Raw genomic sequence first — 22585 nt, 5'->3', positions numbered from 1 at the left:
CGGCCTCCCAAAGTGCTGGGATTACAGGCGTGAGCCACTGTGCCTGGCCTAAGATTTTCTGATATAAGTATTATTCCAGAGTGAGTGTTTAATCCATCCAAATAGCAAATTTCCCCGAAACTCTTCAACGGCCCATTTGCCCACAGACAGGTGGATCATAGCCCACTGCTACCTGGACAAGCCACACTTTGAGCGTCCCAACGTCCCTGAGATTGTGAGGCCTTGGAACCGGCAGCCTGGCCTTGGTGTTTCTGGTGAGAGGGTCTCTAAGAGTTAACGCGGTTCCTTTCCACAGGTGTTTATTAGGGCCACGAGAGGTGGGGGACACTGTTCTCGCTCAGAGACTGCTCCTCATCTTGTTGGGGTTCAGAGAATGACAACAATCATCCTTTCCTTTGGGTTTCCTCTGTTATGGGTCTCCCGTTCAGCACTGCCAACAGACGGGGTCCACACAGCTTTTGTACCTGAGCCTTTCCATACATTCAAAAGCTGACCCCATTTGAATGGCCCTAACAGGAAAGTCTTTCCTGCTCAGTGAGGCCTCAGTTTACCTTGAGCGTCTCTTGGGGGCAGACAACTGCAGAGTGCTAGGCCCAGCCTGGAAGGGCAGTGGAAGCCCTCCAGAAGGGGACTTGGACAGCTCCCTGGCCGGCCCTTCCCAGCTGGACTCTCCTGATTCTGCGCCTCAGGAAGGCATCTCTCTGCCCACCAGCTCTCAGGTGGCTCATACTGGCTTCTCCTGTTCTCTGCCTGTTCCCCAGAAATGTGTCCATCGACTTCTCAAAGCCACATGGCCCAAGAGCCCCGGGGATGAGGGCTCAGACCCCAGCAGAGGTTTGTCGGCACCCAATGGCTTTCAGGATCTCTGGTCTGGTCCAAGAGCCCCGGGGATGAGGGCTCAGACCCCAGCAGAGGTTCGTCGGCACCCGATGGCTTTCAGGATCTCTGCTCCAGCCCAAGAGCCCCGGGGATGAGGCCACCTGCCACTCTCTCTTGTCCTCCATCCTTCCCTCTCTCCAGCCCTCCTTCCTCCCTCCTCTTTCTCCCGAGAACTTTCATGCCTACCTTAAAGAACCAGATGCAATCCTCCTGGTTTTCATTGGAAACTGACTCCAGCATGAGGGTCTCTCCCTCCTTTTGATTTCCCTAAGCAAATTACCATCCAAACAATCATTTCCCATCGTATGGAATCTCTCCTGCTAAGTTATTATTGCTGACGGAGGATCTCTCATGCAAACGGCCCATTTTTCTAGCTTGTGTGGGGTCTCTGGGAAATTTCTGACTTTTCATTAGCAACCTTCCGAAATGACAAGTGTCCCCGCATCACAGTATAGACAGCCGGGATCCGCAGCTAGATGGCTGTGTAGACAGCCGGGATCTGCAGCTAGATGGCTGTGTAGACATGTCCTGAGATCACAGAAATTATCCAGGTTTTATTCCTCTTTCCTTGCACTCATGAAGAGAACATTCTTCAGAGATTGAAAAACAAAACAAAACAAAACAATGCATGGAATGAGAGCATTTTTCACATCTGAGATGCAGGCGTGGAATTTAAAGCATGAGGATCACCCAGGAAGCTGCCAGAGGGCCCTTTTTCACCTCACACCGAGTGTCACCGAGAGGAGTTCATCTATCACACTGCTTACTCACAGCAGCAATTTAATTACGCAAACCTGATCTAAGGCCTTAATTAAATTTTTAAAAATGCGGCCTGTTCTCTCTGGGAACAACAGAGGCAGCTTTTCCACCCTGCTTCCTTCACAGATTAGCTCATCTGTGGCGCGGGGTTTCTCGGGAGGCGTTGGAAATGCAGATCTTGGTCACACATGTGCCTCCTAGGCCGTTCTGCACATTCTCCTTATCTGGAAATCTCTGCACCTCTGATTGGTGCCCAGAAACGCATACCTTTTGACAGGCACCTGCGAATTGGAGACGGGAGCCCAGCAACCCTCGCTGTTTGTCAATTTAATATCCTAGAACAAACAGCCCAAATCTCTGTCAACAGCCATTACGCGGAATCATATTGTGTTTCCTTTTCTATAAATCCAACTCATTACCCTGCATGACGGATTTGGGCCTGTTTCTCTTATTTGCCTTTCTCCAGTTCAACCAATGCTCCTTTCTGGGGAATATGCTGCTGAAGGCCAGGTAGCTGCAAGGTCTCATCTCCTCGGCAGCTCCTTCCAAAGCCCAGCTTCTCTCTGGAACAGGGAAGGGGCGGAGGTTTGGGTGAGAAGGAAGGGGGCCTGGCAGGCTGGCAGAATCACAGGTGAGAGGTGTAGGGGGACAGGGATCACAGGACCCCACAGGCCTGGCTGCCCACTGCCTCTGTCCACACAGGGCGGTCAACGTGCCACACACCACACCCCAGGCTGCTCATCCTGCTTCACAGGGCAGCCTTGCCGAGGCCACTAGTGCCTTCCTGGTGCCTCTTTCCAGCAATGCAGCCGGAAAGCCTGCCTGGGATTCAACACCCCACAGGGCACCCGCATCCTGCCTGGGATTCAACACCCCACAGGGCACCCGCATCCTGCCTGGGATTCATCACCCCAAAGGGCACCTGCATTCCACACCCGGAGTTCCCAGACGGCGCTGCTACACATGCTGGCCCCCTGGAGGTGGTGAGGGCACACCGGGCCCATGAGTGCAGACTGAGGGCTGCAGACCCTCTGTGTTCTTGAAGCTCACTGGGTCCAGGGTGCCGGGAGCCCTCGGCCCCAGGACACACTGACTGCTGCCTCACTTCCTCCAGGCTGTGACACGGTGCGTGGGTCACTGTCCCGTGTTTAACAAGACCAACACGTCCTCCCCTCCCTGAGCCTCCAAATGGCCAGATGGACTAGAAACTGACTCTCTCCAGACCAGGAGGGGCATCTCTGGGTGGGCTTTTGGGGCCTTAGCATTCTCTGCTTTCCTCATTTCCCCTGATCTCCTCTCAGGAATGGGGAGGTGGGTTGGGTCCCAGGCTGGGGATAGGAGAATGTGCATTTCTAGAAGGTTCCTGGGTCATGCTGATGGCTGGTCCTAGGACCCTCTCTGAGAGCCACTGGCTTAGAAGGTGACACCCCATGATCCCAGCTCTTCCCGTGACTCTTGGGCTCCAGGTCCTCAGGTCCGGTGTTTGCAAACCCTTCACGCTCTCTACAGAGGCTAGCTCCTGCCCATGGAAACCCCACGTGCAAAGCCATTGTTTTGGTTGCAGATTGACAGAAATCCATTCTGCCCATCAGTGGGGGCCTTTGTTCCCAGCCCTATTGACCCACTCTCTGCAGGTCTCAGGCATAGAAAGCAGTCACTGCAGGGCCTGGCAGGGAGAGGGAGGACAAGAAGGGGTGTTTCGCCATGGAAAGGGTGGAGCATGTAAAATCCTCCTCCCGCCCACCCACAGCGAGCAGAGTGGCCTCCTCACCAGGTGGGCCTAGACCTGTGGGCACCCTCCCCCTGCGGGCTGCTCACATCCGCTCATCCAGCCCAAGCGCTTTTCCAGCATGGCTTGTGGCCAAGCGCACCAGACCTCAGCAGGTCTGCTCACATCCTTGCTCCTCCTCTTCGTTATCGGGCCGGGGGCTTCACTCCCCTGTGCCTCAGTGTTCTGCTTTGCAGCTGGGGTCACACAGTCCCTCCCTTACTGGATTGTAGTAAGATTAAGGGACCCAGCACACACAGAGCTTTGGGACACTGCCTGGAAGGTCACATGTGCAATCCATCCAGAGTTATGAGAGTTCTAGAAAGTGCTCAGCATTGAGGTGCAGACACGCGCACGACACTGTGACCCCCACCCCCTGGAGATGGCCACAGGGTCCTGGGCTACATGCAGAGACGCTGGTGGCTGCCCATGATGCCTCAGGGTAGGCAGTGGGATGATGCGAGACTGGGACTGAAGTCCCTCCATCTCCCTCTGCCGTGGGATGGGTTTCAGGCACACTGACCTTTTTCTCAGAGGGGTTCTGGCTGGACAGCATGCCTGCCAAGAACTGGAAGCCAGAGGGCCCACCATGGACAGATGGCCTCGTGCTGGTCCTGCAGCAAGAGTTGGTTTGATGAAAGCAGCTGAGTTCTGAGGCTGCAGAGGGGGAGTCCCTGCTTACCCCCAACTCTTGATCTTGGGGAGGACTGCAGGGAAGGAATAATTGTTAGATATGCAGAGCAGAATCCCCTGTGCCCACAATCACTTGCAGACCCACTCCAGGGGCAGGCAGCAGCACTCATCCCGACCCTGTGCAGCGGGGGTACCTGGGACAGGGAGGCCCTGCCCAGGTGTGCTTGCTCAGGTGTGCCCTTCCCAGGTGTGCTCACTGCCATGCAGTAGGATACACAGCAGAGGGCAGCCCATGGGAGCAGGAAGTGTGTAAGGAAGGTGGAGTCTATCCCCCCTCCGAGCCGATGTCTCTGCTGACCAGCAGAGCAACCAGAATGGGTCCAATGTGCCATCTTCCTGGAGGTCCCTGATGTCCTGTGTCCCCCTTCCTGTGTTCCTGGAGACAGAGCCTGTCAGGCATCCTGTCTGTGCTCTGCCTTCTCCATTACTGGGTCCAAGGCTCTGCTGAGCTTTCTCTATTACAGCCCGGCCTTGGTCACCGGTCCGACGCCATCCTCATGACTCAAGGGCGCATTTCCTGGGGGTGAACCACCACTGAGGACTCCTCCAAAGGGTGGCTCTGACCCAGTTGAAGTCCAGCTGGACAGGACTCGGGAATCTCAGAGAAATAGGGATGGTCCTTCCTGCGCCCCTGCCTTGGACCAAGGCCTCTGGCTGCTGCTCCAGCCACTACGGGCCGAGCTCCCGGCACAATGACAAACACGTTTCCACCTGTTCAAGGTTGCACTTGCACGCCAACACACTCCCTTGAACAGCCATTCTGAACCTATTCTGGCTACTCTGCTGGTCGTCAGAGACATTGGCTCAGGGTGGACAGAGCCTAGAGTCAGGCTTCCAAGGATGAGCGTCTATAGGGCTTCTTGGGCCACCTGGTGAGCCAAGCGGACATTCAGATCATGGCCATCCTCAGCCCCCCTGGGCACTTCCCAGGAGCTGACCTCTCTGAACCCCTGACGGCCCGGGGCCGATGCGGGAGGAAACACACCCAGTGCCTCCCTCCTGTCCGGGTCCCTCTGGGCATGGCAACATCTCCCCAGGACCCTCAGGGTCATCTCTGCCTCCTCAGCGAGCACTCCAGGCTGTCCCCCACTGGACCAGAACCAGGCTGTCAGCCCCACGTCCTCTGCTCTCCTGCTGGGCTGGTCCAAGCAGGTCTCTGGCCCGAGGCACACGTTTGGGGTGTTGGGGATACGGTGACGGGATCGGAGGAAGCCTCAGTGACCCTGAGAGCTGCCTGGGGACCCACTTGGTCCTGAGCCCATGAGAGTGGATCTTGCGCTCCCCGATCCTGGAGGAGCAGCCGGGCCTGGCAGAGTGCACACAGGGAGGCCTGGGCTCCCGGAAGAGCGGCTCACCTGTCCCTGCTGCGTGCAGCCGGTGGATGTCCATGCCCAGCAAGCTCATCCCTTGTGAGGCTCCTCTGGCCTCTAGAAGAGCAAGTCACTGGGTGAAAGGAGGGAAGCCCATGGGCCCCGGTGGAGAGAACATTCAGGAAGCTGGAAGAAGTTCAGTCTGGCTAGAGCAGTCAGCTGGAGGGGGTGGGCGTGTGGGTGGAATGGGGCTGCCTCAGATTCTCTCCTCCTGGTGGGCTCCTCCAGGGAGTCAAGAGAGGTGGGTCTTGTGCTTGTCAGCCCCAAGGCCTTCCCTGGCCCCTGCCTCTCCCTGAGGACCTGAGAGGTCTCAGCAATGCTCACGGGCCTGCCACTTCTCTGTCCTCATCCTTACCACTCCAGGGCACCCACCACTCCCTATCCTGCCTCAGGACCCTGGCGCTTGCTTTCTTGCCCCTGCGGTCAGCCTGCCTGTACCCCTCACTCCCTTCTGGCTTGGTCCAAGTGCCAGCTTCTAGGGATGCCTTGGCTGTCCTACTGACGACTGCACTCCTGCCCCCGGGGTCCCGGCCCATCTTGCTGTACACCTCCCCCAGCGAGCCCTTCCCATCCTCCAGTCCCTCAGCGCAGGTTATCTGCCAGTCTGTGTCCTGAGTGTCTCCCCCGGCATGGGCAGCAGCTCCGGGCGGGGATTTGGACCTGCTTATTTGCTCCAACAGCACCTGCCTGGAAGTGTCACTGCCGCATCCAGGTGCTCAAGAAAGCGTCAAGCGTCCGTGAGCGGATGGGGGACTGCAATCATAAAGGAAGATCACAGTTGTCGCCTGCCTTCACGTCCCATCCGGAGACACTCTCGGCAATGGAGGGTGTCAGTGTCGAGTGCCCTGGTCCTGCAGCAGAGGGAAGCTCCGAGGGTCACATGGCTGCAGGCACAGCGAGGTCCCTTCTCTCCACTTCATAAATTCAGCAAACAGCAGAGTTCCTGAAAGTGCATAAAGGAGAAATAAGGCTCCCTCCAGACAGAAGAGCCGTGTGTAAAGATGAAGTCCTCCTTCTTCTCAGGCCTTTTATGGGAGGTGGAGGGAGGCCCCGCCGCCATCCATTCCAAATCAAAGCCCTGCTCCTAAATCACCTTCATTGGTGAGACCGATGCGTGTGGTATTATTCCAATACTCTTTTTAACGAAATGCAAAATATGTGATAATCATTATTTTAATGTCACTAGGGGCCTCTCGGTCAAGTAAAGATATTTCAAAGGCTGCATTTCCAAGTCAAAGCTGGCTACAAAATATTTAGGGAACTCCACCAAAGAATAGCCAAGCTATGAATCAGAGGCTGCACACCAGAGTGCTTTTTAATCCCGGACAGGGCTGAAAAATAAGAGGAAGATACATTTTCATTCTTTTCACTTGTTCCATTATCCACTCCAACTGAAGTGCCCAGGCACTCTGCTGTCCCTGGCTGCAGCCCCAGGCGGCGTCTCTGCCGTGAGGGCTGTCCACTTGGCATTAATAATCATGAAGGCTGCAAGCAGCACGGGGCAGGAGACAGTGAGGCTGCAGGAGCATGCTGGCCTTCCTGGCGGTCCTTGCTTCTGTCTCATGGTCCCTGGAGACAGACATGCTGCTACATGTGTGGATGTATGCATGTATTCTGTCGACCCTTTCTTTCCTCTTCAGAAAGTGACTGTGACATGTGACCTCATTTCACAAGCTCCACGGGTGACCCTCGAGGACCCTCTAGAGCAGGGACCTGCATAGCATGACCTGTGGGCTGAGTCTGGCCCTCTGCCCGGTTTTATAAATAAAGTTTTATTGACACACAGCCCCTCCCCATCTATCTACAGCTGCTTTGGAGCTACAAAGGCAGAGCTGAGTAGTAGTGACAAAGACCATGTTGTCCCGAAGCTGACCACGTTTGCTGTCTGTCCCTCTAAGAAATAAGCACCTCACTCCTCCCTTCACAGTCAGCCCTGGGGCTTTGCAGAGACGAGCCCCAGGGGACTCACTCCAGAGGAACCCTTGCCCAGCCAGCCTGGCCCTGCTGTGCCAACTCTGCTGTTTAACTCCTCTGTTCCCTTCTTGGTCTTCCAAAACCCCCTCAAACACAACAACAAACAAGTAAGCAAAAAAAAAAAAAAAAACCCAAACACTGGCAGGAAGGTAAATAGATCCTGAACCAAAGAGTAACTCTGGAAATCAGAGAGAAATTTCTCACAACTTTCTTTTGAAATAAGAGACACGCCGGGTACGGTGGCTCACGATTGTAATCCCAACACTTTGGGAGGCCAAGGCAGATGGATCATTTGAGGTCAGGAATTCAAGACCAGCCTGTCCAACATGGTGAAACCCCTGTCTCTTCCGAAAATACAAAAATTAGTCAGTCGTGATGGTTGCACACCTGTAATCCCAGCTACTTGGGAGGCTGAGGCAGGAGAATCGTTTGAGCCCAGGAGACAGAGTTTGCAGTGAGCCAAGATTGCGCCACTGCACTCTAGCCTGGGTGACAGAGTGAGACTCTGTCACAGAAAAAAAAAAAAAAGAAAAAGAAAAGAACTAAGAGAGGCATATTTCATTTATTTTATGATGATATTGCTGGTAGAAGTAACACAAAATAAATGTGTCAGGCAATAAGCTTCACACAGTAAAATGTATTCTTATCATTTTTGAAAACTTTAAATATGCAAAATTTAACTTGGAAATTTTAAACTGTGTAGAAAGAATGCACCTAAAAAGAAAATGTACAGTGTTTATCATTGGTATAATCGCAGAAGATTTGTATGACCACACCGATTGTTGTTGAATACTTGTAAAATTCAAACCAAAGTAATTGATTCCCACAAAATTAATGTCGGTAAAACAAAAATGAAAATAAAATGACGTATTTGAATTATGTAAAAAAATCAAAGAATTATGGTAAGTTGAACAGTTTGATAAATCTTGACCAACAGTTATAATTCTATTTTAAATATTTATAGTCATTAAAATGGAATCAGATGTCCATATGGTTTTAAAGTACCCTCTTTCTGGAAACTAGCCATCCACCCAACTATCCAAACATCCAAATATCCAGCCATCTACCTTACCACCACTTTACTCCTTCCATCACTCACCCCTCCTTCTACACATTTACTCATCTACTAACCCACCCATCCATCTCTCCATCTATACATCCATGTACCCATCCACTCCTTCACCCACCTACCCACTCATCCACCAATCCATTCACCCATCCACTAACCCACCCATCCATCTATCCATCTCTACATCCGTTCACCCATCCACTCATTCATCCACCTACCTACTCACCCACCAATCTGTTCACCCATCCACTAACCCACCCATCCATCTATCCATCTCTACATCCATTTACCTATCTGTTCATTCACCCACCTACCCACTCATCCACTAATCCATTCACCCATATCAACCCTTATATCTGTACATCCATCATCCACCCATCTACCCAACCATAAGCCACTCAACCATCTATCCACCATAATCCTTCACCCATCCATCTATCCACATAATCCTGCACTGATCCATCCAGCCAACCTTTCATTCATTCCACAAGAATACCTGAAATCATTTAGAAGAAAAAGTATAACAAAATAATCATGTGTTAGGATCTGGAAAAATGTCAGAATTAGAGGTCAGACCATGGGAAGATGGGAAAGAAAATATTTAGGACTTGGATCCTGGATCGGCATCAAATGGGAGACTCACATACAGCACTGAGCTGCATTTTTTTTTTTTCTTTTTTTTTTGAGACGGAGTCTCACTCTGTCACCCAGGCTGGAGTGCAGTGGCACGATCTTGGCTCACTGCAACCTCCGCCTTCTGGGTTCAAGCGATTCTCCTGCCTCAGCCTCCCGAGTAGTTGGGACTACAGGCGTGTGCTACCATGCCCAGCTAATTTTTGTATTTTTGTAGTTTGTATTTTTAGTAGAGACTGGATGGAACCAATGTGCTGACACCATGTTGTCCAGGCTGGTCTCAAACTCCTGACCTCAGGTGATCACCTGCCTCGGCCTCCCAAAGTGCTGGGATTACAGGCATGAGCCACCACACCCGGCCAGCACTAAGCATCTTACTGGAAAAAGCAAATTCAGCCAGTAACACGTCCTTCCTGTACACTAGGAGAAACACACCAGTATGGTAAGAAAAGTGAATCCTTGCTTCACAGTCAGTTCTGAAAACTTCTCAACAGTGATGCTTCACTGGGGGAATCGCAGGGCAGATAACATCCTCTGGCACTTCCCTGTGGTCCACGGGCAAAGGTTTCCTCTGCAGCTGTGGTGACACCCCCTCTCAGCATGGAAAGACACCATGAACCATGACATGTCACACGTCAGGAGGAGCGGTCTCTGGGCCTTGTTGGATCTACTCCAGGGAGCTTGAAATAATGAAATCCTATGTCTCTGTCAAATGCCATAATGCAGGCTTTCTAGTCCCTGAGGGCTGTCGTCTCAACAATGAGTGTGGAGCTGTGACATGAGGCTCCCCTGGACCCTCCTTCTGATTGTCTTGTTGAATCATGGTTTAGCTGGTGAGCAATTCAGCCATGGGTTTGGGTTGAATGGTGGAGCCCCAAAATCTGTCCACCTGCTCCTCCTGTAAATATGGCCCTATTTGGAAAGGGGTCCATGCAGATGCTAAGAAATTAAAGATCTTGAGGTGAGGTCATCCTGGATTATCCAAATGGGCCCTGAATCCAGTGACAAGCATCCTTATGAGAGACAGAAGAGGAGAAGGGAGAAGACACAGAAAGAAAAGGAGGTCACATGGAGATGGAAGAGGACACCAGAGGTCACATGGAGATGGAAGAGGACACCATCTACAAGCCAAGGAGTGCCACGGAGTGCTGGCTACCACAGAAAGCTGGGAGAGAGGCCCGGAACACAGCCTCTCAGAGTGTCTGGATGGAACCAACGTGCTGCCACCTGGATTTTGGACTTCTGGCTTCTGGAACTACGCAGGTCGTGGTAAGTTTTAATGGCAGCCCTAGGAAGCGAATGTACCATGGATCAAGCATTTGTTTAGTTGACATGACTCTAGATAGAACATCGAAACCCTTGGGTTCAGAACGCCAGCTTGCTTCCAAGGAGTTTATTCAATAGTAGGCATTTTACCAAATGGACTTACAGTCTGTGTACGTACATTTTCTTCTTCCTCCAACCCCACCCACCTTAAAATAAGAACAGCAGAACTAGGTAAAGAGAAATAAAATGTCTCTTCGAATTCCTTGGACAAAAACCTGATTAATACAAAATTATTATTTATTATTATTTATTATATTATTGTGATGAGAATGATGCCCCTTATTTATTAAATGTTCTTGAGAGTTTACTGCATGTCAGGCACTTTGTTGGGTACGGGGGGATGAGGTGAAGGGATGGAGTCATTCTGGTCAGTTCAAGGCCTCCCTAGGGCCATCCAGGTGACTGAGGACAAATGGCAGGGCCCTGGGTCACGGCTGTTGGGAGGAGGGAGTTTGCTCAGCAGGGAAGGAGGGGGTCCTGTCCCTTAGGCAAGTTCTGGGATCTGAGCTGGGAGCAGGAATAGTTATGTCAAAATGAGAACTTTTAAGATGCAGACCTTGTCACTAGGCAGGTTTAAGTGGATCACATTTTCACAGATAATTTTCAGCTGAGACTCTTAAAACTTCGAATAAAAGTTCCCCAAGCCTCAAACGTTCAGTATGTGCCTCTTCCGTATCCCTTCCCATCCTTACAATAGAAGACATCACTTCCTCCTGCCCAAAGATTCTTTTTTCCCTTCAACACTCAAAGCGCTGCCTAACCAAACCTTCCATCCAATTATCTCCCTGCAGCTTAATTTGACTGTTCCTGAGATGCTTTTTCTGGAACCCTCTACTTTTGTTGCTAAAATTACACTTGGCTATCCTGAACTCGGCTCAATTAGAATTCTCACTTCTGAAGATTTATTTCCTGCAAAAAAAAAAAAAATCCTCTGACGCGCCATGGAAATATCTCTGCTCCTCCGTGTTGATACCTGCTGGCGAGGCCGTTCCCCCAACACCGAGGCCTGGAGCCCGGATTCCTCGGGGCCTGGTACAGGGGTTACCCAGTCCTCAGGGAGCTTGCTGGTGAGTGCAGAGGGCAGCCCTCAGATTCATTCAAGGGGTTTATCAAATAATTGACATTTCATCTAACGGACTCCTAGTATCTGCTGGGTAAATTTACTTCTCCCCTGGCTCACAATCCTTTTAGAATAAAAAGAGCAGAAGTAGGTATTGAGTTAAAAGTGTTTAGCCAGAATTTAGGGATGGAGAGGGACCCTGCCTTCAGATGGATAATTGTACCATTCCATCTCTTGCTCAGTGAGCCCAGGTGGACGGTGCCGTCCCTGGAGGACTCATGACGTGCTGTGTGCACATCCTCAAGTCTGACCTCAAGCTTGCCAAACAGATACTATGGTTTTTCCCCCGAGGAGGAACTGCTGATCCAGAGTTCATGATCATATAGTCAGTTGTGTGAGGATAAAGGATTTGACTTGGGACTGTCCAATGAGGAGTCTCCCCTGACACCGCATCGCTTCATAGTGGAGAGATAAGACCTCATTCGGTATCTTCCAGAAGCATCCCACAGGAGACACCAGAAAGCAGGGTTCCTGGCCTAATAAGTTTGTGAATCAGAGCAGGCAATGCCCCTTTCTTAGAGATGACTGTGCACACTAGTATTGCAAGAGCTCCAAGACATTCTGCAATTTAAAAAGTCAGTTTAACTGTTCAACTCATCATGTACTAATTTTTTAAAAATAGCACCTATGAATATACCCAAACTAGTGTGCTAGGGGCATGTCGGGGACTTAACATGTTGGCCCGGTTGATTCTGTAGCACACCACTGGCCACAGATCCCACACCCTAGAACCACCTCAGTCTTGGAACTCCTCTCCCTTATGTCGCCCCTGGATTTGATGCCTATTTGCAGTTGGAAATCAGCTCAAATCCCCCATCCTTATTTGGCCTTCTTTACTGAATGACACTTTTACCCCTCTCCCTCCCGATTTGCCAGCCCAGGTTAAACACCTTGGCTTTGTAAGCCCAGTCACCATGGCCCATATTTGCACATGGCCACTGATAAACTCAGAGACAGGGACCACCGGCCTCAGTGAGCCGGGAACATAGCACGGTGGAAAGAAGCCCAGGAGGAAGGGTGCCCGGAGCGAGTCCTGCTCCAGTCCCCCGGAGGACGGGCTCCCAGGCTCTGCCCTCGAAGGTGGGCTGCAAGCCTCCTGCAGAGATGTCTTCTTTGGGGGAGGCAGGAAGCAGAGCAGGGGGAATGGGCCTCAGCCTCAGGAGACTGGGCCCACCTCCAGCTGCCGGGGTGAGCTGAGCCGCTTTGGGCAGAGGCTCAGCCTCCCACCCCTGGAGGCGCTGACCATCAAAGGCAGGGTCACATGGACCCTTCACTGGCTGCTGAGAATTAAATGGGATGGTGCATGATGGTCTGTGGCCAGAGCCAGCCCCCAGTGAGCCTCTGCGGCCTCCTGGTAATTGATTCCTGGGGCTCTGCTCGGTGTCTGCGCCTGCACGATGGATGTGGCCCTTTGCTGGCTGCTGTGTGCATTAACTCGATGGAGTGGGCCACCCGCCCTCAGCGCCCCTCCCCTGCAGATTCCATCAGAAGCCACAGGAGGGGCTATGGGCGATGAGGCCAGGGAGGCTGCGGGCCTCAGCTGCCCAAGGGCTCTGCCATGGCCACAGGGAGCCCCCTTCAGCCCCTCGTGCATGCCCTTCCCAGTCCTGAGTGGAGGGCTCTTCAGGGGTGTGGTTCAAACTTTTCCCAAGAGTCACAGCAGCTGCCTCTGGCCCAGCCATCGGGAAGGGAGCTGCGCTTTGCTTGGTCCTAGCTCAAGGAGTTCATCTCTGCCACTATCCTGCTGAGTGTCCCAAGGCTGGTGATATGCTTATTAGCTCACGCGTTGACTGTTCACTGTCCACAGATACCAGGCTACAGGAAAGGACAGCAGTTCTCAGGCTGGGCTTCAAGGAGCATGTTGAAAATAGCAGGGAGTTCCCTGACCATGTCGACACGTGTGCCTTGACTTTATTCAACTCCAGACAACAGCACAGACTGCAGATGGCAATCATCTAATTGCTAATAGATTAATGCAGTCAGCCCAACCGGCTTACTGCTTGTTAGGAAGTTGTTGTTTTCAACATTTATTCGGAGACACTGCTGAAAACCTGTCAGAGGTGCTGGCTGGAGGTTTGTCTGATGAATGAGAGGATGGGTGCCCGGCTCGGATGTCCACACCTTCATTAGGCTGGAATTTAAGTCGACATGAACTGGGAATCCAGACGTGTCTGTGATGAGAAAACAAAGCAACTGCCCTGTCTCCAGCTTTCCCTAATAAAATCCTGAATTTCTGTATGGTGTGCTCGCCGCAGACTGTGTGAGCGTATGTGAAGACAAGGCTTGTGTTTCCTGTTTGCTCAGTTCTACAAGTAGTGGTGACACAAAGTCGTAAGTCAAATGGTGTTTTTGAAGGGTGGAAGAGAGAGAGCACAGCTTAATTGTTGCATTGTGGGTTTTAGAGGTTTTGGGACACACCTCCGTAGACACACACAATGAACTCACTTTGAAAATGAAAGTCTCCTATATCCTGGCTGTTCCTAAGGATGAAGCTTCTCATTTGAAGCCTCCATATTTACTGGTGCTCGACTTTGTAAGCATTTGACGTTGAATTTACAGAAGGAAAAACAATCAACTCTGGCTTCTTAGTAAATGTTAAGAAAGTTGTGATAGCTGTTGGGTTTGTAATTCACAGCTATTAAATTCCTTAGGGAGGTGATAAAAAGTTTTTCTTGGGGCAAGAAAGTATGAAAAAAGATGAAGGAAAGTGCAAAAACACGTTTATACATGGGGCTTTGATACAGTTTTGTAATGCTAAGTGATGAAGAGCTATCAGCTTGGAATTCACACCTAATCAGTTCAGCAAATAGTTGTATAAACGCTGCCCTGAAAACACAAGAGTGGGAAGAGAAACCCAGGTGAGCTGCGAAGGTTCCCTGGCTTGAGTCCCAACCTACGCTTTCAGTTTAAGGGACATAAGGACGATATTTTTAAAATGCAATATATATATATATATATAAATAATACATATAATATTAAATAATAAGTATATATAAATATATATGTAGGCAACCAAACCACTTCGTGTAAAAACATAAATTTGCGTATCAAACTGCATTTTGTGAAAGTCCTTGCAGTTTCCTGAGAGACAGCAAGCCAACTAATTGGACACAAAATTGAATTCAAATGGCTTAGCCTGGCGTTCAAGGCCCACCAGTACCGGCCCTCCTTGTCCACGTGATTCTTGCACGCGTCTGAGCCTCTGGCCGAGGGGATGGCATGAAGGCTGCCAGCCTGTCAGACCTGACTGCTGGAGAACCGGCTGGTGCCCTCCTCAGGCAGCCCTGATGACAGAACGGAGGGAGGTCTTCCTCTTGACTCATCTGGTAAACCATCGTGCTGTGACTCGAGATACATTTTGAATTTCATGTTTTACTTCTCAAAAAAAAAAAAATCTCGACTCGTGCTGACGGTGAGAGAAAGCCGCCAGGATGCATAATTTAATTGCCTCAATTTTTACCTGAAGTCTCTGGATGAACAAAAGGATCTGGAATGTGCTTTCTTTCTTCGTTTAAATAGAACTCGCCTGCTGAAATATAGAGCATGAAAAACAATATATTCTTTTAGACAATTTGGAAAGTATTTATAAAAAGACATAGGAGAGGACTTTTAATTGTTATATATTTTGATCTTAGACGATGTCATAAAGAATGCTTGGATGCCATGTCTCACATTAAGGGGCAGCTCTTGCAGATCTGGCTGTGACAGTTTTGGGACCTGATGAAAAAGGACAAAAAGAGGAAAAGAGGCCCACAAAGAGGAAAAGAGGCCCACAAAGAGGAAAAGAGGCCCACAAAGAGGAAAAGAGGCCCACAAAGAGGAAAAGAGGCCCACAAAGAGGAAAAGAGGCCCACATGTATATGTCTGAACATCTGAGCTAGGAATCTACTGGGCGTGTTGTGTTCTGATCACCAACCTTGATGGATGTGCCACCATAGCCGCCTGGAAGCTGAGGTTTGAATTTAGAATCCTCAGACACACAAAGCCTTGCCCAGGACTATGGCCAGGGTGGAGAAGCCTCACCTGGACTGGGTGCTGGGTGCTGGGTGCTGGGTGCCAGCCTGTGGCCTGCCCCACTGGGGGTGGAGGAGCCTCACCTGGGCTGGGTGCTGGGTGCCAGCCTGTGGCCTGCCCCACTGCTCTTCCTGTTTGCGGGTCTGTCCTGTGCCTCCAGGGACCTCATGGAAGTGAAGGAAAAGGCTGTGGGCAGAGAACATGTTGAGGGCCACCTGGCAGAAATCAGTGTGCTGCCCAGCTGAAATGGGCTAGGACTGGGACCCCCGCCCACGAAGGAGGACTGCCCTACTTTGGGCCAGTGGCGGGTAGCGGGGATGCTCTGAAGTTGCCGGCCTCACATGAGGGCAGGACTGGGACTGCCTCTGATTGTCCTAAAGGAGAAATCAATGATCATTTTTGGGAAGGATGAAGATTTCACCCAGGGCAGGAGCCAAGAGCATGGCCCACAGCTCTTGACCTTAGAGAAACTCCTCTCCCAAAAAGGGCGGGGGGTGGGGGGTGCTGGGGAGCCCTCAGCTCCGTGTGGGCCTCTGTAAGTGTTCACTGGTTTAGAAAAGGAAACTGGGGATAATTCGTATCTGATCATTACTGAATGCATTCTTCAGTAGAAAGCAGGTATCTATAATCTCCTGAGCAAATTCCCTCAGAATTCCGAATCTTTTACTTGCAAATCTATATACACTTTTTAGAAACTGGTGTCCGGCAGGAAGAAGGAGGTCCCTAATATTTAGCTAAATATCCCTATGAAAGGCTGGGCTGTGCTGGGCTGTTTCTCCCGGCCAGATTCCTTCAGGTGGCTGAGAGCTCATTTGTGAAAGCTGCGGTGAACATCCTTGCGTGAACATCTCTGCCTGCATCTCTGAGCTACTCTGAGGATGGTTTTTGGAAGCGTGATGGTATTAAGGAGTGTAAACTCCTAACTCTCGTCTCTTAGATCACCACATTCCTTTTGAGAGGCAATTCAGGTTTCTATTTCCACCAGCAGCAAAAAATATCACCATTTCACTTCACTCTTCCCAACATCAAATATTGTCTTGCTAAACTGCCAATTTGAAAGGTGAAAAAACTTTCATAATTGCTCCTATTCGCATTTTAAAATCTCTGTGAGGCTGAATGTTTTTCACATGTTTAGAACTTCTGTGACTTACCCATTCAAACCATTTGTCTCCTGGTGGTGGATAAATGCTCCTTAAACGTGGAGGATATTAAGGCTTTGCCAGAGTTGTTGCTGATGTTTTTCTCAATATGCCCTTTGTCTTTTAATGACGGAAGAAAGACAAAAATATTACTTTATGACAATAAACATTAATAAGTTAAACTCTCCTATTCCGTGACAAAGATTAGCAGATTAGGGTAAACCATAAGGCCCATTTATAAGAAGCATACAGAAAACAAAATGCTATTTTAATGATAGTTTCGATAACGAAAAAGTTACCATGTACCACGATTTACTGTGTGAAGCATGGTACGTTTCCTCAAAGCCTTTCTTTCTTTTTTTTTTTTTTTTGAGACTGAGTCTCGCTCTGTCGCCCAGGCTGGAGTGCAGTGGCGCGATCTCGGCTCACTCCAAGCTTCACCTCCTGGGTTCACGCCATTCTCCTGCCTCAGCCTCCGGAGTAGCTGGGACTACAGGCGCCCGCCACCACGCCAGGCTAATTTTTTTTTTTATTTTTAGTAGAGACGGAGTTTCACCGTGTTAGCCAGGATGGTTTCTATCTCCTGACCTCGAGATCTGCCCGTCTCGGCCTCCCAAAGTGCTCGGATTATGGGCATGAGCCACCGCGCCCGGCCTCCTCAAAGCCTTTCTGATTGGACTTCTCTCACAAGCTCTCCTGAGACCTCTTAGTTTTTACAGATGGCACCTTGCACATGAGACATTGATTACAACATTTGCAACTACGTGCTTGAGACATTGTATACAATATTTCAACTATGTGCTTGATGCCAGTCTTTCAGCCCGCTTGCGGGGTTGCAAATTCCTGGAAGACTGTGTGTGAGTGTGCTATTCACCACTGAATCACTCAGTCAGTAACTGTTCACAGACGGACCCTAAATTCATTCGCTCATTTAATTCAACCTTATGTATAGCAATTATTGCCCCCATCTTATAAGTAAAGAAACAGGCTTGGAGAATGAAGTGACGTTCCTCCAACCACGAGTCTCTGAAGTAGCTCAGCCAGAATGGAAGCCCCGGTTTTAGTGACCACAAAATGCATCCACCACACAACAGCTGGAGGTTCAGGAGGAAACTCCAGGAGAAGCTTGTGGAGAAAAGCAAAGGAAAAGAAAGGAAGGCTTGAAATAGTCATTTACAACAAAGGCCAAATGCAAGGCAACCATCATTTAACGAAAAAAGAGAAACATTATTTTTTGGAAAGAAAGGATATTGTTCAACAAGGCTGTATCAGTCTCGAACATTTTGTGCTAAATGCCAACATCTAAATATACTAAAAATACTTTTAGAAATGTAGATATAAGTGGGCAGAAATCCATTTATAGGAGATTATGTTTCTCCCAGGCTTTGATCAAATAGACAATGTATACATTAAGGACCTAATGAATTTGAATAGTTTAACTAAAAACGTTACATGAAAGCATCTCTATCAAATATTGTATTGCATGAATTATTATTTTATCCTTTCAAGTTGCTATGAAACATATGCAAAATAGAGATTATATGTTAGACCACAAAAATAACAGTTATTCTAATGCATTAAACCAGAAATTAATTTTAAAAATACACAGAATGAATTGCTTGTAAAATTAAAAACAAAACAATACAAAGCAACAGCCGGGCTTGGTGGCTCACGCCTGTAATGCCAGCACTTTGGGAGGCCGAGGCGAGTGGATTGCCTGAGGTCAGGAGTTCAAGACCAGCCTGGCCAACGTGGTGAAACCCCATCTCCACTAAAAATAAAAAATAAAAAAAAAAATTAGCCATGAGTGGTGGCGGGCGCCCGTAGTCCCAGCTACTCAGGAGACTAAGGCAGGAGAATCACTTGAATCCAGGAGGTGGAGGTTGCAGTGAGCCAAGATTGCACCATTGCACTGCAGCCTGGGCAACAGGAGTTAAACTCCGCCTAAAATAAAAACAAAAACAAAAACAAAAAACACTTCCCTAAAGGGACTGTTGAATCAAAAGATTCATCCAAACAACCAGAGCAGACCAATTAGGCTTCTGAGAAGCACTGCTGAGCCCCCACCACGAGGCCAGTGTGGAAGGCACCTAAGACATTTGTGAAATGAAGGAAGACCGAAGCACCCAAGTGACTTGCTTTTGCCTTTGCAGAACCCCTCTCTCTGTAACAGAGCCTTTGTGTACATTTCTAGCATCTCACAGCACCAACAAGATGTTCCTGACTATGATCCCCTCCACTTGGAATAATTTCCTTCCTCCCTGCTTTTACATGTTGGGGTGACAAGTGAGTCCTTAGCCTACAAGACCTCAACCTTCAGCTGAAACTTGAACCCACCAGAAAGCTTTCCGCACCCACAAGGCAGGCCCAGGTTAAGGCAACTCTTGTCCATGGTGGAGTAGAACTGCACGGGTAGCTCATGCCTAGAGCAATGCACTACACAAGCGAGTGCTCCTTCTCCATCTTACCCTCTCTCCTTCTGAAGAAACCTTCATGAGGGCATAGATCCTGACATTTCTGAATCCCCTGAGCCTGGCAGGGACTTGTCATTCCTCCTTATGAGAAAACCTGAACAATCTAAAAATCAACAGCTTTTCAGGACTCATCAGAAAATGGAGATCACAGGGCAGAATCTGGAGAGCTGGAGACATCAGAGAGACACAGCTCAGATTTGCTTACCTGAGCTTATGGCCCTGAAGCCATCAGCCAGTAGGACCACATGAATGGCAATTTTGACAGATTGCTGGAGACAGGTGTGGGCTGGCTGAGAGGGAGGAACTCCTACGAGCTGCAGTCCTGGGGACCCCCACATCTTTACCCTCCTTCCCTGCAGAAACCCCATTGGGTTCTCACAGTGAGGATCAGAGAAAGATCCCCTTGCATTATGAACAGGGGAAGGAAAGACTGATCATGGAGAAATACCTCCCCAGAGCTTTCTCCACAATGAAGGCCCGCTCTGGGGCAAGGACTTTGCCAAAGGCAATTCTGAATCTTTGTCTGGGCAGAGGACAGCCATTTCTCCTCACCCCAGCCCTGTTCAGCCTTCTTGTCTGACCCTGGCAGGGAGAATCATCACCAGTGTGGTACAGTGATTCCAGGAAAGAGACTGGGGAGTCTGCCACTGGAGAAGAAAGTAGGGGACAGGGGCCAGAAAGATCTGTATCCGTCAGTCAGGGTGGGACAGAAGCGTGTTCGAAGAACGTAGTAGTAGTTCAATAGTAGCAATATATTTTGTAGAAATTAACAAATTTGATTCCAAAATTTACATAGAAATGCAAAAGACATAAAATAGTCAAAATCATACTGAAGAAAAAAAAGTTGGCAGAATCACATTGCCCAATTTCAAGAATTATTATAAAGCTACGGAAATAAAAGCAGATTTGGAAAAATAATAGATCAGTGGACAGAATGTAGAGTCCATACGTAGACCCATACAAATATAGTCAACTGATTTTTGACAAAGGCATTGAAGGCAATTTAATGGGGGAAAAAAAAGAATCCAGGTACAAATTTCACATCTTACACAAAATTTGACTCAAAAGAATAATAGACAAACATGTAAAATGCAAATTATAAAATTTCTAGAAGAAAACGTAGGTGAAAATATATTTGACCTTAACTTTGGTGATACATTTTTAAATAAAACACCAAAAGCATCATTTATGAAAAAACATTGGTAAGTTGGATCATTAAAATTAAATGCTTTTGCTCTGTAAAAGAATGAAAAAGATAAATTACTAAATAGAAGAAAACATTTACAAATCATATATCTGATAAGTAAATTGTATCTAAATTATACAAATAACTTGTAAAACTCAACAATGAGAAAATGCAAATTGTAAAATGCCAACTAAGTTTCCAATTTAAAAAAATGGGCAAAAGTCCTGAACAGCTATCTCATTAAAGAACATATACAGGTGGGAAATAATCATATAAAATGCTCGCAATCATTTTTTATTAAATAATTTAAAATTAAAGCAATAATAAGTTACCACACACACCTATTAGAATGGCTAAAATCCTAAACACTGACATTACCAAATATTGATGAGGATGTGGAGAAACAGAAACACTCATGTTTTGCTGAAGGGAATGCAAAATGATCCAGTCACTTTAAAAGACAAGTTGGCTATTTCTTAAAAAGTTACATATGGTCTTAACATACAATCTGGCAATCATCCTCTTAGATATTACCTGATTTCAAAACATATGTTCACATGCAAAAAAAAAAAAAACTTCACATGAATGTTTATAGCAGCTTTCTCCATAATCATCAAAAGCTGAGAGCAACCAAGATACCCTTTGGTAGGTGAATGGATAAACAAATCCTGTTACATTGTACAATGAAATATTATTCAGCAATAAAAATAAATGAGCCATCAAGCCACAAAAAACACACAAAAGAAACTTAAATGTATATTGCTCAGTTGAAGAAGTCAGTCTGAAGTGGTAACAGACTACGTGATTTCAATTATATGACTAACGGAAAAGACGCAACTAGACAGATGGGTGAAGAGATCAGGAGTTGTCAGAGCTTCCGTGGAGGAAGTACTGAAAAGATGAAGTATTGTACATCTTTAGGATGGTGAACTGTTCTGCATGATATTGCAATAGCAAATACATGACACCATGCTTTTATCAAAACCTACATGTCTTTACAAAACAAGAAATGAATATTAATGAATAAAAATCATTATTATTATTATTTTTTGAGAGAAAGAATCTCACCCTGTCACCCAGGCTGGAGTGCAGTAGTGCAACCTCGGCTCACTGCAACCTCCACCTCCTGGTGCGAGTGATTCTCATGTCTCAGCCTCCCAAGTAGCTGGGATTACAGGCATGCACCACCACGCACTGCTAATTTTTGTATTTTAGTAGAGATGGGGTTTCACCATGTTGGCCAGGCTGGTCTCAAACTCCTGACCTCCAATTATCCACCCACCTTGGCCTCCCAAAGTGCTGGGATTACAGGCATGAGCCACTGTGCCCAGCCTATTTTTAAAAATAACTTTAAGTGGTGAAGGGATGTGAGGATGGAATGAGCACAACAACAAGAGTTCAACTGTATTACCAATGTGTGAAAGAAGCTTACTGAAAGAAGGAGCTATCTTAAGCAACTGGAAATGGATAGAGAAGGAGCTACTTAAGTAACTTTGGAAATGGATAGAGAAGGAACTACATAGGTAACTTTGGGAAATGGATAGAGAATGAGCTACAAAAGTAACTTTGGAAATGGATAGAAGAGCTACATAGGTAACTTTGGAAATGGATAGAGAGGGAGCTACTTAACTAACTTTGGGAAACGGATAGAGAAGGAGCTGCTTAAGTAACTTTGGGAAATGGATAGAGAAAGAGCTATGTGAGTAACTTTGGAAATGGATAGAGTCTGTAGACTAAGGGTAAAAGACACTGTACATAGCACTGCACTCTGACTGATAAAGTTATGTCCCATAAGGGTATGGGTTAACAATACTAATACCACTCTACAGGTGCACTAAAACTGAGAAACCAAGTAAACAGCAGCAGAAAATGGGTGCTAAGTTTTACCATGTTGGAGTGGGGGTGTAGAGAGAAGCAGGGAGAAGAGGCTCTAATGATCCACATGGCAATGGATGAGAGCTGGAGCCATCAGTAAGAACTCAGGTTTAGCTCATTATAGACATAGATGGTTACATAGAGAATATTTATGGATTCATGCACATACTCGGGTCAGAACACACATGTACATTCCCTTGCTCCTCAGATGAGGAGGCCTGGAAACGATGGTACCCTCATAGCAATGACTGCACCTGATGCCTGAAATTTGGTTTCTCATGCCTTTCTCTAATAAACAGAACCAGG

General features: G+C 48.2%; 3 annotated features.

Annotated features, from left to right (window-relative positions):
* Positions 5543–6534: an enhancer, noted in NCBI's record as "H3K4me1 hESC enhancer chr22:48819797-48820788 (GRCh37/hg19 assembly coordinates)". NCBI's record gives its function as "activates a minimal SCP1, AML or CMV promoter by ChIP-STARR-seq in primed H9 embryonic stem cells {active_cell/tissue: H9 hESC(primed)}" and the evidence as "EXISTENCE:reporter gene assay evidence [ECO:0000049][PMID:30033119]".
* Positions 15191–15728: an enhancer, noted in NCBI's record as "H3K27ac-H3K4me1 hESC enhancer chr22:48810603-48811140 (GRCh37/hg19 assembly coordinates)". NCBI's record gives its function as "activates a minimal SCP1, AML or CMV promoter by ChIP-STARR-seq in primed H9 embryonic stem cells {active_cell/tissue: H9 hESC(primed)}" and the evidence as "EXISTENCE:reporter gene assay evidence [ECO:0000049][PMID:30033119]".
* Positions 15729–16267: an enhancer, noted in NCBI's record as "H3K27ac-H3K4me1 hESC enhancer chr22:48810064-48810602 (GRCh37/hg19 assembly coordinates)". NCBI's record gives its function as "activates a minimal SCP1, AML or CMV promoter by ChIP-STARR-seq in naive and primed H9 embryonic stem cells {active_cell/tissue: H9 hESC(naive and primed)}" and the evidence as "EXISTENCE:reporter gene assay evidence [ECO:0000049][PMID:30033119]".

Source organism: Homo sapiens, chromosome 22 (genome assembly GCF_000001405.40).
Source record: "Homo sapiens chromosome 22, GRCh38.p14 Primary Assembly".
Lineage (NCBI taxonomy): Eukaryota > Metazoa > Chordata > Mammalia > Primates > Hominidae > Homo > Homo sapiens.
This window is presented reverse-complemented; position numbering and strand designations above follow the sequence as displayed.